We start from the raw sequence: 16,631 nt of genomic DNA on the forward strand, positions 1-16,631 counted from the left end.
TCTGAGCCCAAAGGGAACACAGCGTTGGGGGCAGGACCCAGCCCATCCAGAACACCAGCCGTGGAAGAGGAGCAGCAGCGCTCCCGCCCGCCGTGAGGGCCGGGGCTGGTGAAGTCTCAGAGAGGCTTCCACAGACCCTAGGCTCTGCTAAGCAAGGGTGGCACAGCAGGGCGTCTCTGCCCTAGTCCGGATTCACCACTCAAAGTGCTGTCTTCAAACCAGCAGCAGCAGCACCGCCTGATGTCCAGGCTTAGAAATGCGGACTCAGGCTGTGCCCAGAACTAGGGGATCCGAGTCTGTGCTTTCACTTAAAGCCTGCTCTGGAGGTTGTGATTTTGTGGGGAGACAGTGTGAAATGCACAAATAGCCACCAAAATGAAGTACTGAAGGCATGTGTGGGAGGCGGTCATGGGCACATGAGGAAGAAGCTGCATCAGATCCCAGGCCTGAGTGCAGCCCTGACTCCCCTGCTTCCTGCCTCTGGGGCCTTGAGCACTTGACTCGAGCTCACTGGGCCTCAGTTTCCTCATCTGTAGAATTACAACCTCCTAGGGCTGGGATGAGGATTAAGTGAGTTACTACATGGTGCAGTGCTTAGAACAGGGCCTGGCACAGCATCAGGACTCGGTAAATGTTGGCTCCTAATACTTCCAGTGAGATAGGAGGTGGTATCTCATCCGGGTGTTGGAGGATGAGCAGGGTTTTAACAAGTGGCGAAGTAGATGGAAGATCATTCCAGCTGAGAGGAACAGTGAAAGCAGAGACCAGGGAAGTCCTTGATGTCTGCGGGTCTCCTCTGGGGTGACCACAGTGTGGGAGGCCCAGAGCAGTAGGAGTGGAGGCAAAGAGCAGGAGAGGGCCTCAGACAATGGTCTGGGGCTGGGACGTTTCCCTGGGAGAGGAGAACTTCTCAGCGTGCTGCTTCAGACCTCTCTCTCCCTGGCAGGAGAGTGGGGTGTGGGGCAGAGGCTGGGAGCACATTGAGGGGATGGAAGTGAAAGATGGCTAGTGGCCTTTGCTACTGGAGGCCCAGTGGACCATCCTTACGTGGCCACTGAGCTCTTAGGGGATCCTAAAATTTGCAGGAGGCAGTCAGGTTGCCAAGTCTATTTGCAGGTATTTCTCCACCCACCACAGTCCGCCCTACTTCCTAATCATGCACTAATCCTCATGGGGGCTGTGGGAGCTTTAATTACCAGGCAAAAATGCCAGGCATTTGCGATAATAGAGATTGCTTAATGCAAACTCCAGCATGAGGGGGTGGACTGATAGGTGCGTGGGGGAGGGGCCAGGAAGAACATGGCTATAGTGTCTGCGTGTGTGTTCCCGGCAGACCTGTTATGCACAGAAAGGGATCAGGACCCTGCTGGTCAAGGGCCAGTGGCTACCAACGCCTGTGGGTGGCCTTTCCTGCCCTTCCTTTTTACGCCATCTCCCAGACTGCGGCGCTTCCTTCCATTCTCCTGCTCACCTTCCCACAAAATACCTATCTTGTGTCCTGTTCCTCCAAGAAGTCACTGAAGGCCTTCTCCATACAGATGGGGAAACCGAGGCCCAGACAGGAATCATTAGTTAAGAGTCCTCCTGGGCATTTCTTTTCCACAGGGGTCTCTTGGAGACCAGACCACCAGATGGTCTTGGGGCTGGATGGAATAAATCTGATGGGGGGTGGGGGTGATTCCAACCTGCCTCCTTTTGCCTCCCCTCTTGCTTCCCCCTCCAGCCCCACACCTCACCCACCACAGACCCCAGCAGCCTCTTCCCAAACTGCCCCTGGCTGCCTGCAGCCTTCCCTGGTGTTCTTTGATTCACCTGGGTCCTTGCCCTCTGGCTCCCCATGTCCATCTGTCAAATCCTACCCATCCCACAAGGCCAGCTCCAAGGCCCCTCCTCTAAGAAGCCCTCCTGGATTACCCAGCCGACAGTTCAAGTCCTCCCCTCTGAGTGCTCACAGGACTCAATCACCTCCTCTTTCACAAGCCTAGGTCTTAATAGTTAGAGGGTGTCGGTCACCTGGCCACAGGTGTATGCACAAGCAAACACATAAGCACATGCACACACACCCCTGTACACCTCTAGTGCTGTTTCCTTACCCCTGGGCCCGGGGCTCCTTCCTCCCTGCCTCTTTCCCTCCCCCAGGTACCTGTCCCACCCTGGGGGACAAGCCCAAAGCTCCTTCTGCCCACTTTGAGGCCCCTCCCCTGCTCACACCCACTCCAGGCAGAAAGCCTCGGCAGCTGGGTGTCAGGGCGGGAAGGTGCTGCCTGAGGCTCCAAACCGTTGGTTCCAGGTGTGGCTTTGAGATTAAACCTGGCGCCTTTCCTGTGGCCCTTGATAAGGGTGATCCTGAGTGTTTCTCTGGCATTTTCTGTTTAAGGCCTGTCTGAGGTTCAGCAAAGTCCCACCTCCCCACGGAGCCCTCCATGATAAGCACAGCACTCGCGGGTCCACCTCCCTGTGGCCTGCTCTGTGGGGAGCCCAGGGTTGGCACCATTCCTGGGCCCTGCCCCTCCCCTCCCCTCCCCAGCACAAGGACTGACCCTGAGGAGTGCTATTAATAATTATATCAGGACAGTTTTGTAATCAGGAACTGCCGTGCACGGGAACTGTAGTCTGCGGGAGGATTGTTCTGTTACTGATTGATCTCCCACCACCGTGCCCTTCAAACTCCGGGTTCAGATCCTTGGATTGTATTTGGGGGTTGGAGCTCAGATGAGGGGAATCCTCTTGGTGGGCTGGAGCAGTCGAAAGCTTCTTGAAGGGGGAGGATTGAAACTGGACCCTGAAGGAAAGTGGGTGGGAGGAGGGGCAGAGAGCATTCCAGATAAGCAGAGGGTCTGGGTTGTCAGGGGCAAGGGGCCTGGGGAGTCTGGGGGTGGTGGGAAGGTTAAGGATGTCAGGGCTGGATCCTGAAGGGCTTTGAATGTCAGGTTAAGGAGCTTGAGCTGTGAGCACTAGGGAGCCATGGAGGGTTTCAGAGCAGGACAGTGATGGGTCCAAGCTGTTTGGGAAGACTGATGTGGCAACAATGTGGAGGACAGATCAGAAGGAAGACGCTAACTTCTTAGCTGGGGCCATGGAGAGGAGGATCCGGTGTGAGAGAGCCTGCTTTTTTTTTTTTTTTCTTTTTTTTGAGACAGGGTCATCCAGGCTGGAGGTGCAGTGGCACAATCACAGCTCACTGCAGCCTTGATCTCCTGGGCTCAAGCAATCCTCCTAAATCAGCTTCCCAAGTAGCTGGGACTACAGGTGTGTGCCACCATGCCTGGCTAATTTTTTAATTTATTTTAATAGAGACAAGGTCTTTCTGTGTTGCCCAGACTGTTCTCGAGCTCCTGAGCTCAAGCGATCCTCCTGTGCAGGCCTCCCAGAGACATCCTGCCTTTTAGTGCTTCAGCCAAAGGAGCAAGGTGGTGGGCCCATGGACCCGCACCCAAGTCCCCGCTCTCTTCCCTGCTTCCTGGCAGGCAGATCTTGCCTCCAGCAGCGGTTCCGTCTGCCTGCTTCTCCGTCAGCACTGGTGGCTGCAGCTGTCCCTAGAGCATCTTTGCAAAACATCCCCGCCACGTGATGAAGGAAGGCTTCCTCTGCCCCCGTGCCTTGGCAAACCATGAAGGAGGGGGCCTCAATTCGAGGAAGTGCCCAGGGCTTTGTTCTGGCTCCCGCCATGGCTGGACCCACTGTCTATTGTTTTCCATGCCGTTGGTGACCTTGGGCCAGCTGGACTGGCTGGCTCCCACCTCCAAGTCCATTGCGGAAGACAGCCAGGCTGGCAGGATGATTTTCAGTCCCTAGGTGGTCTTGAGTAGGCCCCCTACCCATGGAGAGACTTAGTTTCCCCAGCTCTTGGGGGTCCCAGTTGGCATTATGGAGACTGTTTATCTCCTGAGGACCAGGAATCTCTTATTAGGCAGGAAAGTGAGTTCCCAGCCCCAGAACAGAGACCCATACCTCCTCCTGTGTCTGCTGTTGTTGGGGGCCCTTGTCCTGGACCTGTGGATCAGAGGCGCAAGTCTGTCTGCCATTCCCTCTCTCTTGGTTTTGGGGATCCTTGCTGCCCCTACCGCAGGGTGTGGTCTGTGAGGAAAGGGGCTTGGGTTGGATGATGAAGTGATTACAAGCTTCTACTGGAATTTGGACCACCTGAGTTTAGATCTTAGCTCCAACCTCTCAGTTGTGTCACCGTAGCTAAGTTACAAAATATGCATGCACGCACACACACACGCACGCGCACACACACACATGCACACACACACACACACATAAAGTGACCTTTCTGAGCCTCAGTTTCCCTGTCTGTAAAATGGGAATAATAACAGCGTAAACTATATAAGATTGGTGTGAGGATTAAGTGTAAGGTGCCTAGAAGAGCACCTGGCGCCTAGTAGGTGCCCAGTAAATGTTGGCTCTTTTGCCATGAGCTGATAGGAGGGTGTGGGGGTTGGGGCAAGTTCACCTCACTGAGATTCAGGAAGGGTGACCGTATGAGATGCTGTGATGTAGTGAGGTCTGCTGGGCATTGTCTCTGTGGACTGATCCCTGGAAATCAGTCCCTCCCTGTACCTTTCCAAACCCAGCCCTGAAAGGCAAGGCCCTCCTCTCCTTTCCCTGGCTCTCCAGGCCCCATAGCTGCTCCTGGGCCAACTGGATAAATGGCTTCTTCTCTGCTTGCCCCCTTAAGGCTGTTCCTCCCTGCTCTGGGCTTTGGTTCCCTGCTTGTGAAAGGAGGTGATTGGATGAGGAGGCCCTCCCTGCACAGCGACTGGGCCAGCATTCCCAGCAGTGACCACTCCTGAGACTGAGATCGAGGGCAACAGGGACAGACACTGTGTACAGCCCCTAACGAGCCTGGCACTCACACCTCCCTGGTGACAGATAAAGAAACTGAGGCTCAGCCAGCCAGGTGCTGGCTCGGGGCCTGAGGCTAACAGATGGCAGGTGCCCAAGCTCTCCCTGCTCATTCCTCGCCTCCCAGAGGATTTGCTGAGATTCTGGAAGGCCCCCAAGCAGGGCAGAGGAGAGGGTGGGGCTTCCCGGAGCCCCTCCTCTCCTATCTTCCTTTATTTCCTGAGACTTATTTTGGGGACTCTGGAAAAATCTGTGAGTGTCTTGGTTTCTATACCCGTGTGCTATTGTGTGAGAACCCAGCCTTTCCTTCAATTCAGACCCCTCCCCTCACCCCTCACAAGCAGTCCGGAGGGAGAGATGGGTCAGTGCCCCTGTCTGGCCCACCTAGAAGGCAGCCAGCCCGGGGACGTGACGCAGCCCCAGTGCCTCCTGCAAAACCCACTTCCTATCGCCTCTAGGCCACCACAGAAAATGCCAAGCACTTTTTCCTTCTTCCCAGCTAAGGCAGACACATCTTGGGTTTATTTATCTAAGGATTTTCCATTTCCTTTTCTGGAAAGTCGTTTGGGTCCTGCACGTTGCTGTCTCCACAAAGGAGGCTAGGAAGAGAGGCACGTGTCCCCAAGAAGTGAGAGTGGGGAAGGCTGAGAACCCAAGACCTGTGGGACTCAGCAGTGCTCACGCTGACACCTGCCTGAGGCCGTGATGATGCCCAAGGCCTCTTGGGGTGGCCTGTCATAGGGATAAACCTGTTTTAGGAGTGAACAACCCAGGCCAGAGCAGTGACTTCCCCAGGGCCTCATGGCACGAGGCTGCCAGGCCTCCCTTGCTCGTGACTGTTCTCACAGTTGTCTTCAGAGGCCCTAATTGAGCTTCTCATTCAGCCCTGGCTCCCACTTGGACGGACTTGGGTGGTGTAGGACTCCCTGAGGGCAGAGCCCCTACATCTTTACCTCTACATCCCAGCCTGGGTGCTCCCGAGGCAGAGCCTGTCCTCCTCGTCTGCACCAACCCAGCAGTGGGAAGCAGAGCATCCCCATGGCTCCAATTCAGGCTATGGAGAGAAGACAGGCTCACGTGGCCACATCCTGGCAGCAGCATGCCATCCCCGCTCCACCAGCTCCTCCCTGAGAGTCAGAGCCGACCGTGGGGAGAGGGGCAGTGAGGGAACCTCCCCTGCTCCTGCCGTGGCTAAAAGCCCACCCCTCCTGGCCCTCTTTCTGCCTGGACCTTCCTCTTCCCAAACCACCTCCCTTCCTTTATACAAACAAATCTGTCTGCCATGTTCCCTACTCCAGGAAGCCTTTCCCGATTACTGGAAAGAGGTGGGGCTCTTCCGCTGCCCAGAGATCCACCTCACCCCTTCCTGTGGCTCAGGCCTGGTCCCAGCTGCCCACCCCTACACACCAGGGCAGCATGGTAGAGCATCACAGCTCCAGGGTTCCTCCATCGGCAGGGGCGTTTGAGTCCACTAGTGCCTGAGCCAGTAAGTGATGGAAGGATGGTTTCCTGTGGGCATTGACCCTGGCACTAGCTCAGGCTGGGCACCGGGGCACTGTGTTATCAGAACCATGATGACTCCGCATCAGGGATTCACCCTACTGAGGTGCCGGTCTGAGTCCTTTCCATCAAAAGCCCTGCTACAGCCTGCTTTTCAAATCTCCTGATAGGAAGATCTGCTTGATCAATTTCCTGGACGGCCAGAATTGGGGAAAAGACTTCGTATTGGTGATAGGCAGCTGTCTCTGTTATCATAGAGTAAGAGTTGGTAAATACTTCTTTCCTTTCTTGCCATGACTTCCAGGAAGCGCAGATGGAAAGTGATGCTGAATGGCAATCTGTCTGTGATGCCACGAGCAGCTTCCTTCCTCTCTTTGGTTTTATTTTCACTAGATTGTTGTTAGGAGTTTTTCTTGTAATTCAGTCCCTTAGTGTTCAAAGTGTGGTTCTGGGACCAGCAGCATTGGCATCGCCTGAGCGTTTGTTAGAAATACATAATCTCAGGCCCCATACGGCCCTACTAAATCAGAATCTGCATTTTAACAATACCCCCAGGTGTTTACGCTCACATTATAGTTTGAGAAGCACTGATGGAATCCCAAAAAACTTTTTAAATCAAAGTTGCATGAACTAAGACCTGTGATGCCTCTTCCCCTTTCCTATCCCAATTTCCCTACCAGGGGCCTCCCACGAAGCCCTGTCCAAGCCCAACCACACCCCATTCAAGCCCCACCACACCCCATTCAAGCCCCACCCCTTCCAAGCCCCACCCCTTCCAAGCCCCACCCCTTCCAAGCCCCATCCCTTCCAAACCAGCCCTTGTTCTGATTTTGCTCCTCATTCTGCTCCCTGGCAGGGTCAGTTACTGAAGGCTGTGGGAGGGGACCCTCTGTGTTGTGGTCTGTAGGGATGAGGAAGATAGCGAGCTTGTGCCCCAGGATCGGGACCCTCCAGAAGCTGGCTGATCCCTCACAGACTAAGTTGACCCTCCTATGGCACTGGGCCCTCAGGGTTCTGCTCCTGGGCCAGGAGGGAACACGAGACTGTTCCAGGCAGGGCAACTGTTTCTTCAGATGCCTTGTCCGTGCATGCACACGTGTGGTGCACTCCTGGTGAATGGGACATCACAGGTGGTCACACTGGGCCCAGGTACTGTCGCCAGGACGAGGCAGGAGCAAGGAGGGCCCGAGAGACCTGGGAGTGGTTGGCCTGAGGAGCTGCAGCCCCAGGGAGTGGGTCCTTAGTCCCGCTTCTGCTCCAAGAGCTGTCACTAGGTGGAGGGTGCAGGAAGTGTTGGATCTGCGGCCTGCAGGGAAGCACTGGGACAGGGGGCTGAGTTCCCGGAAGCCACATGTAAGGAGCAGCCTTCGGAGCTGGCCCACGGTGGGACCAGCTGCCCAGGAAAATGACCAGGGCCCCACCAGGGGAGCACCCACGTGGGGGTTAGTGGCCCTCCAGCAGGGATTCCTCCGGGGGATTCCAGAGTCTGAACATGTGTGCTCCCAGGCTGCCTTTGCGAGGCCTTCAGATCCCCAGGCTCCATGAGTCCAAGCTCTGCCTCCTGCTGGAAGGCTTTGTGACTTCTGCCCTCCTGATCAGCTTCTCCCCCACCACTCCAGGTGTTTGTGAGTCTGGGCACCCTTCCAGCCTTCGAACCTAGGGCCTGGACCTCCTCTGTCCACCCATCCTCAGGCTCAGCGGGTAGAGAAGGGCAGGAGATAAGGGCAGACCCATGATGCAGGCCTGGCAGGCCCCTCCATCTTGGCTAGCCCTGAAAAATGGCCACTTCCAAAGCCTCTGGTTCTCGAACACCAAGGGCTTGGGGAAGGACCCTCATCCCCCACACCCAGGTGGCTGCTAGTGCTGCTGTATTTAGCCTTCTTCACAGGCCTGGGCCTGGCGTGGGGACCCAGGCTTCCTGAGTTCCAGGCCCTGCAGCCCTAACCACATCTGGCCCTGGCTCTTCAAAGGCCCCCGTGATGCCAGCCTGGAGTGGGGTGTTCAGGGAGGAAGTGGGGACACGGGTCCTGCCTCGGTCATGAGGCAAGTCCTCTGCTCTGCTGCATGCCCTGCCGGCGGCCACTTTGCTGTTTATGGGGCTGGGGAGGAGTAGGTCGAGACTGGTTCGCTGTGTATGACATTGGGGAAGTTAACTGAGCCCATGGCCTCAGTTTATTTTGGTGCTATGGGGTTGTAATGGCCTGCAGATCCTGCTGCTGTGATGTTCCAACGCTCTGGTGACAGGAAGGCCTGGAGGATGTGGCATGGGGGGCTTGTGAGGTGGCTTCCCAGGACCTGTGTACCTGTAGAGCAACATCATAAAGCAGGAGGTGTGTGTGCTGGGGTGAGGCTGGGGAGCTGGGAGCTGGCTGAGACAGGGGGCCAGGGCAGGGGACCATGTCATCATTTTCTCATTAGGTGAGACAGTGATCTGTCCATGTGAGATGATCTTGCTGGCCCTGTGGGCTCCAGGAATGTTGGCTTCACATGAATAGATTTACCAGATGGACCTCAGAGGGAGGGGGATCTCTGGGTGGACAGGGGCAACGGTAGGCCCTGCCCACCCTTCCTTCCACCCTTCCAGGCCTCACCCACTGCAGCCCCTGCCCACAGCATCCTAGGGGAGAAAGACCAAAGGAGTGTTGCCCCACAGGTGGCCCTGCCCCATCCCTGCTCTTGGTGGCCCAGCGTACCTTCCTAACAGTGCCTGGTGGGCTGGCAGATGGCAGGTCCCGTTCAGCTTTGAACACCTTCCCAAGCTGCCTGAACATGGAGCCTGCTCCCCACCCACCTGGCTGTGCATAGAGAACTGGGTCAGGCCTAGTCTCTGCCCTACTCAGGGTTTGGGGTACCGTCTGGAGATAGAGACCAGGACACATATATCAAAGTGGGCCCCAAGAGGGGGCCCAGGAAGCAATGCAGTCACAGAAACACCCATAGCTTCTCTGTTCTGCCATTTAAACTCAGCTCTCGGTGAGGACAGGAGGTGAGGGAGGTCCCTGGATGAGGGGCAGCACAGGTGGCAACCGCTGTGAGCACTCAGAGGGGCCAGAGAGACAGGCTCAGGGCTGCAGGTGGTGGAGGCCACAGTGTACATGGCACAGGGCTTCAGAGGTGGCAGGGTGATAGTGACCACAGTGTGCATTGCTCCATGTGTGTGCATGTATGCACATGCGTGTCCTCACATGTGTATGTTCAGGCACACACATTTGTATATGTGTGCACACATGTACGGGTGTGAAACGTACATCGTGTGTGTGCAGATGTGTGTTGTCCGCGTGCACGTGTGTGTGCAAGTATGTGTTTGTGTGTACATGAAGCCCATGCACTGTCAGAGGTGGAGGAAGGGTTAACCAGGCCTATTGCCAGGTCTATTGCCTGCTTGTGACTTGGCAGGGCCTGCGGCAGGGACTGCAGACTCATCCTGAGGGAGGAGAGGGTTAGGGACCCACCCTCCACCTGGAGCTTGTTGCACGGTCCATGTGAGCACAGCTGGAGTGTGCCCACCTCCAGCCCCACCCTGTGTGCTGCTGGCTGGTGCTGGTGGTGGCAGCGGTGGTGTCAGGGCCACATTATGACTTCTGTGTGCCAGGGTTCTTTGGCCTTCATGGGCCCTTTCCTCCAGACATTAAGATATTAGAAATTCAATTTTACAATTGCGTTGGCATTAAGATGAATACATGAGTCCTGGTGGTGAGGCCTGTTTGAACAGCCCTGAGTGCAGTGAAGAAGGAATTTCACCAAAGCTCTGGGGCTACCTGCATCTAGGCCGTTCCACCATTGGGCCCAGGAGGGAACATGAGACTGTTCCAGGCAGGGCATCTGTTTCTTCAGCTGAAACTCACTGAGCTTTGCATGCTGGGAACACCGAAGAAGCCAGGGAAGCTTTGGCCTTTGAAGCAGCTGGCTTGAACCCGGAAGCTCCCAGAAGATCAGACTGGGCCAGGAGGCGGTGGGAGCAGTGTCAGTGGCCACGGCGCTCTCAGGAGGAGACAGAGCCAAGGAAGATGCAGTGGGAGATGGCAGAGGCAGCAGCCACCAACGACAGGGTGGGACTCACGCCGGGGGACAGATGTCATGGGAGCCTCCAGGAGAGAGAGAAGTGGACAGAGAGTCCAGCACCCAGAGACTCCCTGTGGAGACACCTGGCTGGAGGTGCGGGGTGGGAGGGGGTGGGGAAGGGGAGCATGAGAACCGCAAAAGGCCAGCAGATGGCCCAGAGCCATGAGGCAGTGGCTGCTGACTCTTCAGGGACTGTGGTGTCAATGGGGGGGTTGACAGGCCTCTATCTTGGCTGAGGCCCTGGTTGGAGATGCAAAAACGTCAGGTCCTGGGGGGCTGGGAGAGTAAAAGGCAGGGTCTCCTGTGGATTCCTTTTGCTGCCCAGGCCTCTTGGTTCCTGGTCAGGGAGGGCACTTTTCTGAGTCCTTGCTGCAGCCTGAGGAGGAGGTGGCCTCTTGTTAAGCAGAGAAGGGAGGAGGAAGAGGCTGGGTGTGGCAAGCAGAACAGGCCAGGCAGGACTGGAGACCCGGGGTTCCAGCCTAGCTCCACCCTGCCCCACCAGAAAACCCTCTGAGCCTCAGTTTCCCATGCACCAGAGGAGGGCGTCAGATCCGGTGCTATCTGACCCCCTCTCCCAATCCTGGTGCTTTGTAATCTAACAAGCCAATGTGGGAGACTTCTGAGGGAGCCCAGGTCGGGAGGAGCAGGATGGGAGGCTGCTGGGGCCTAGGAGAGAGGAGGAGCTCGGCGTAAGGATGTGCTCCAAAGCCACTTACACACATGACGCTTCCTTCCAGGGCCCCACAGCGCCGAGGCCACTCCAGGCAGAGGCCCTTGTTTGCTCTGCCCTCCCTAAGGGTGTGGGCTGGCAGCCTGGCACAGATGCCACCCCCAGCTTTTTCTGCAAGTGAGGAATGCCTGCCCTTTCGGGCCAGCAGGGATTCCTCACCCTCAGGGCAGGGCTGGGGAAAATGTGAATTCACCCCTTCCTGGACTTCCTTCCCACAGAGTTGGGGTGGAAGTAGGGCCCAGCCTCCTCAGGGCACCCTCATTCTGAGAGTTCAGTTTGACTCTCAAATCTCTGCCCCCATCCCTGAATGCAGCACCTCAAGCCCTCACGGACCCCAGCCTGGCTGATGGCAACTTTTTCCCATCCTGTCTCTGTGGCTCATCCTCTATGGCATGAAGCAGGGACCATTGCTGGAGAGTTGATGGTAAAACATCAGAAAACCATGCTTTCCAGAAAGAAATGAGTGCAGCATTATCCCTGCACCCCTAGGACAGTAAGCCTGGCCAGTGCTCAGGGCAGGCAGCGGCAGGGGTGAGGAGGGGGTGGGGGCAGGGAGAGAAGTGCATGGGAGGCAGTAGCCTAGAAAATTACTAAATTGTTCCAGCTCTGGTGAATCACTGGTGGCCTGCTAAATCCGCTTTTGATTTAAGAGAGATCGTGTGACACCTAAATGTTCAGGAATTATCTGTCAGACAGGGAGGAATTCACAGGCTTTGAGAGGTGGGTGCCTATCTCTTCTCTTGGGGGATTGAGATAGTCAGCAGATGCCACTAGGATCAGCCCCCACATGCCCAGCCCTGTGCTCAGCTCTGCAGCGGGGCATGGTGGGCAGAGACACAGAGGCCAAGGCCCTGCTTCGGGGACGGTGGGCCTGGGATGAGCATGGCCTTGGCCTTCGCCGAGAGTTCTCTTGTGAAGGAGGGGTCAGGAGGGGCTGCTGCAGCTGGGGAGGAGGGCGATGGCACTGTGGCAGAAGGAAGAGTGTGGGTGCCAGCACCCAGGCACGGCCAGCCTGGGGTATGGAGCCGGGGCCTCTGTCTAGAGCAGGAAGGTATGGTGAGGACCTCAAAAGGACAGCCACTGGAGAGCTCCAGGCAGAGGAACTTGAGAGGCCCTGGGGCCATCCTGTCTCTTTTCTGGGTCTGTGTGCTCTGGGCCTGGGCCCTTCCTCTGCTCCCCCGGGCTTGGAGAGGGCTGGCCTTGCCTCGTGCAAAGGACCACTCTAGACTGGTACCAAGTCTGGCCCATGGCCTCCTGTGGGTGCAGGCCTGTGCGGGTGACCTGAGAGCCAGGGCTGGCAGGTCAGAGTCAGGAGAGGGATGGCAGTGGATGCCCTGTGCAGGATCTTTAAGCAGAGCCAGGAGCCACTGGTCAGTTGGGATGGATTCACTGGGAGGAGCATTTTCTGATTTTCACCACCTCCTTTCTTAGCAGCCTCAGGGACTGGGTCCTTTCTTCCCACCCTCCATCAGGGTTCTCTGCCCCAATTCAGGAAAGCCTGAATGATTCTGGAAAATTCATCCAAGCTGTGGGCGAGCTGATGGTGACTAGATGGTCAGGACCAGTCTGCTGTCTGAGTCCCCTCCTACCCCAAACTCCATCTTCCTGGTGGCCCTCCTGGAGGGAATGAAGTCACTGTTTCCCCTAGCCAGGCTTGTGGGTGGGAAATCCCTGCTGGCCCCAGAGGAATGGTCCATCCCGCCTCAGCCCCTCTGCCCTGCACTTAGCAGAAGCTTCTGGCCAGTGATAGCCTCAGCCACACCCAAGGTCTGGACCCTCAGCCAACATCCGAGGCTCCGTCCACTCTCCTCCGGATGAAGCCCAAGGCTCTCCCACCGGGAGACGGGGCCCAGACAGTCCTGGGAACAGCCAGCTCTGGCTGGAACGTGGGTCACCCAGGCACGTCAGGAATGAGGCACATCTGGAAAAGCCTTTGCCGAGACCATTGCTGTCAGCAGGGCCAGGCAGTGCCCAGCTTCAGTGGCCTCAAGCCCCGCCCAGGGTTCAGAAGTGGGGGTGGGGGCTGCCCCCTTACTAGCTTGGCTCGGGCCCGAGTCCATGGGAGGACCCAGGAGCCAGCAGAGGGCGAGGGAACAGCACCTGCTAAGTCAGGAAGTCCTGGAAGAGAGCTGGGCTGCACACAGTACCTGCCCTGGAGCCCAGCCTCCTAGGGCTCACTGGGACCACAGGGGTGGCTCTGGCTGCCCTCAGCTCCTCTGTTGCCCACTCTTAGCCCGGTGCTTCCATTCCCACCCCACCACCCTAATTATACAGGGTTGTTGGAGGCTGTCCCCTCCCTCCCTCCCCACCCCCAACCCATCCTGGCACCTCTCTGGGCCTGCAGCCCCCAGATTTTGTACTGGGATTTCTGTCTGGTAACCAGGTCATTGGGGGCCCTTCCTGACAGGTGTGCAGAGAACTGCATTTGGGCTCTGGGATGGGGGCATCCTGAGTTTTAGTGCCAGCTCTGCCTTTCCTTGGCAAGTCACTTACAATCTGAGCCTTTCGGGGTTGCAGGAAACAGGCCCCAGCTGGACACTGTGTCCTTTCTTCCTTTCTTCCTTCTCTGGTTGGCCTGGATTTGTGGCAGATCAGGGAAAAGGAGGCGGAGGGGTTGGAGACGTCCCTGGGCCTGGGGCTCCAGCGGCAAGCCTTTCCCCTTTTTAGCCACATGGCCGGGTAACAGCCACAGGGCCCCTCGGAGGTGGTGGGCACGTGAGCTCTGTATTGGCATTCCTGGCCGTGCCTGCATTCTGGTGGCGCCTCCTGGCGACAGCCATGCCTTCCTCCAAAAGAATGGCACCATAATGGTGGTATTAAAGGCAGAGGCCACACTCACAAGGGGGAGAGGTTGGGAGATGCAAGGGGTGGTGGAGTGACACCCTGAGGACCCGCATAGCCTCCTGAGATTGGTGGGCACCTACTTGCCTGGACAAAAGTGCTTTGCCTGACCACTTCCCCCTGGTCCCCCTGGCCTCCTGCCCCAATGCAGAACAAGGGCTTCTGCTGAGTGCACACACACACACACACACACACACACACACACACACACACACACTCTGCAATACCTCGATCATCAGCCACCGTGTCCTCACCTAACCTGCGGGCCCTCACACCAAGATGGAAACTGCATGTGAACAGGAGCTGGTCTGTCTGGCTCGTGGCTGTCTCCCCTGTACACAGAGCAATGTCTGGCATGTGACACACACTAAACATTTATCCAACTATATGTTGGATAAATTAGTAAGTTCCAGATGACTCTCACCCACATGGGCCCCCTGGAAAATCATGGGTCCTCGGCTGCACAGATGCTGACCCAGCCACGGACACCATCATGGACACACGGGACATGCCTGGGTCCATGCAGGCCCGTTTTCCTGTCTCTGCCACTCTGCATGGCCACACTGGCCTGAGTTCAGTGGCTCCTTGCGGCCTGGTGCCTGCTCTGCCCCTGCTTCTTTCCTCAAGTCTTCTTGGCTGGGTCCCAGCACCCGACAGCCTCAGAACATAGCAGGGCAGGGACAGGTGAGGGGAGGAGGAGGTGTGTATGTCCCTCAGTAGACATGGTCTACGGGAGATGCCCAGGAGCCTGTGGCCTGAAGGGAAATGGCCATGTTCCAGAGGACCCTGGTCTAAGGGGTGCCACCCCTGCCCTCAGGAGCCAGGTCTGCAGGAGAAACAGTTTGCCCTCCAAAACTTCAAGGTGAGGGGATCCTAGCCCTGCAGAGAGAGCTCTGGTTGGACGCCCCTGAAACTGACCAGAGAGCTCCTCATGTGGGTCAGTGTCCCTGCCAGGGCATGGGGCCAGGGGCCAGGGGCCAGGGGCATGAGGGAGCCTCCCAGAGACTGGAATGCTGAGCCAGGGCTCCTCAGAGGAAAGGATGTAGAGGAGGGCCCAGGAAGTAGCCCAGTGGGGCCAGTTTCCTCTCCTGGACAGCTAAGAAAGTACTTATGACCTTCGGCCACCTGGGCTGTCTGAGCAGGCAGGGCCTGCTGGCCACCACCGTCCTGTACAGGCACTTAGGGGAATGAATCTTCCCCACCTGCAGCCCCAGCAAACACACACCAGGCTGGTCCCTGGCAATTCACCCCAAGAGCCAGGCCACAGCTGGGCAGAGGGGTGGCCAGTAACAGCTGGTGTCATTCTCTGCAGGATAGCCCCTGGACAAGAGGCATAAGACCCACTCATCCTTGCCCTGCCCCAGGCACACTTAGAAAAGTCCTCTCACCGGGCCTCAGTTTCCCACCTATAAATGGGAAGATGCCAACACGCCCGAGTGGGACTGTGGTGGGGCAGGCAGGAGGTGGGAGGAGAGCCCAGATCATCCCAGGCCTTCCCTAGGGGACGCAGGGGGACCCTCCCTTCTGGGCCTGGTTCTTCCAGCACGTTCCATGCAGCAGGCAAGAGGGCCAGGCCCAGGGGTTCCTGACAGCTTGCTGGCCCTGGAGTCCAGATTCTTGTTTGTTGGCTGGCGCTAGGCCTCTGGATTGGAGATGCCCGGGGCACAGGCGGCCCACGGGGATCTGCAGCAGGGCCTCGGCCCCTCCCTCTGCAGGGGCTCGTCTGGTCCCTCCCGCTCTCTGCCTCTCCTCATTTATCTCTCCCTTTCTGCTTCTTGGCTCTGGGTCCAGTCCTATCTCCCCTGTTTCAGTTTGTCTTTTCCTAGCCCTTTGCGCTCTCTCTGTCTCTCTCAGCCCTGCTTGTCTCACTGTCTCTGGCTGGGGGATCTGTCTCTTTCACTTCCACTTTTGCTCTATTTCCCTGCTACTGTCTTTCCTTTCTCCTTGTCTGTCTCTTCTCCTCCCCTCAGCCAGCATCTGTCTGTCTCTGCCTTTCTCTCCTGCTCCCTCCCTCCCTCCTCTCCAGCACCTTCCAATGCCAGGTGGGGCTGCCATTCCTTCCACCTTCCCAGTGACCCGCCAGTGTGACTGCCTTGAGAGGAAAGTCCTAAACTGTCCCTATCTTCACCAGCCTGCCCTCAAATCATTGGTTCAAATCGCTGTCGAGAAGTTTGGGAGCTCCCAGGGCGGGGGCTTTCTAACAGCTCTGCCTAGCTCGGGCCTGCCCTCAACCGCAGCATGCAGGGCAGCCACAGACAACCTCTCTGCAACTTCTGATGCCTCCGTGCCCCCATCCACAGAGCCCTGGCTCTGGGGGACTGGGGACTCTGGGACATCCCTAACATGGCATGCAGTGGCGGTGCGGGAGGACTTGACTGCCCCTCTGGAGCCCTGGGCCCGGGGACTCCAGGCCAGTGCCTCTCTGGGTCGGGATGGGGATGTCAGGCCAGCAGGATCATGGTACCTGCCTCCAGGGAGGGCAACGTCCACCCACTGAGTCCAGCCCGCCCACCCCACCCACTCCGGAGCACCTGGCTCTGCCCTCAGGAACTCCCTGAGCTTTGCACACAGGGCCGAGACACCTGGATTTCTCTGGTTCCCTGAGTGGGGCCAGCTTGGAAGAATTTCCCAAAGCCTATTAGAGCAACGG

General features: G+C 57.4%; 4 annotated features.

The window, feature by feature from the left end:
- Positions 7,244–8,047: an enhancer, noted in NCBI's record as "H3K4me1 hESC enhancer chr7:30941843-30942646 (GRCh37/hg19 assembly coordinates)". NCBI's record gives its function as "activates a minimal SCP1, AML or CMV promoter by ChIP-STARR-seq in naive H9 embryonic stem cells {active_cell/tissue: H9 hESC(naive)}" and the evidence as "EXISTENCE:reporter gene assay evidence [ECO:0000049][PMID:30033119]".
- Positions 8,048–8,850: an enhancer, noted in NCBI's record as "H3K4me1 hESC enhancer chr7:30942647-30943449 (GRCh37/hg19 assembly coordinates)". NCBI's record gives its function as "activates a minimal SCP1, AML or CMV promoter by ChIP-STARR-seq in naive H9 embryonic stem cells {active_cell/tissue: H9 hESC(naive)}" and the evidence as "EXISTENCE:reporter gene assay evidence [ECO:0000049][PMID:30033119]".
- Positions 12,234–12,733: an enhancer, noted in NCBI's record as "H3K4me1 hESC enhancer chr7:30946833-30947332 (GRCh37/hg19 assembly coordinates)". NCBI's record gives its function as "activates a minimal SCP1, AML or CMV promoter by ChIP-STARR-seq in primed H9 embryonic stem cells {active_cell/tissue: H9 hESC(primed)}" and the evidence as "EXISTENCE:reporter gene assay evidence [ECO:0000049][PMID:30033119]".
- Positions 13,858–14,357: an enhancer, noted in NCBI's record as "H3K4me1 hESC enhancer chr7:30948457-30948956 (GRCh37/hg19 assembly coordinates)". NCBI's record gives its function as "activates a minimal SCP1, AML or CMV promoter by ChIP-STARR-seq in naive H9 embryonic stem cells {active_cell/tissue: H9 hESC(naive)}" and the evidence as "EXISTENCE:reporter gene assay evidence [ECO:0000049][PMID:30033119]".

This window comes from Homo sapiens, chromosome 7 (assembly GCF_000001405.40).
Source record: "Homo sapiens chromosome 7, GRCh38.p14 Primary Assembly".
Classification (NCBI taxonomy): Eukaryota; Metazoa; Chordata; class Mammalia; order Primates; family Hominidae; genus Homo; species Homo sapiens.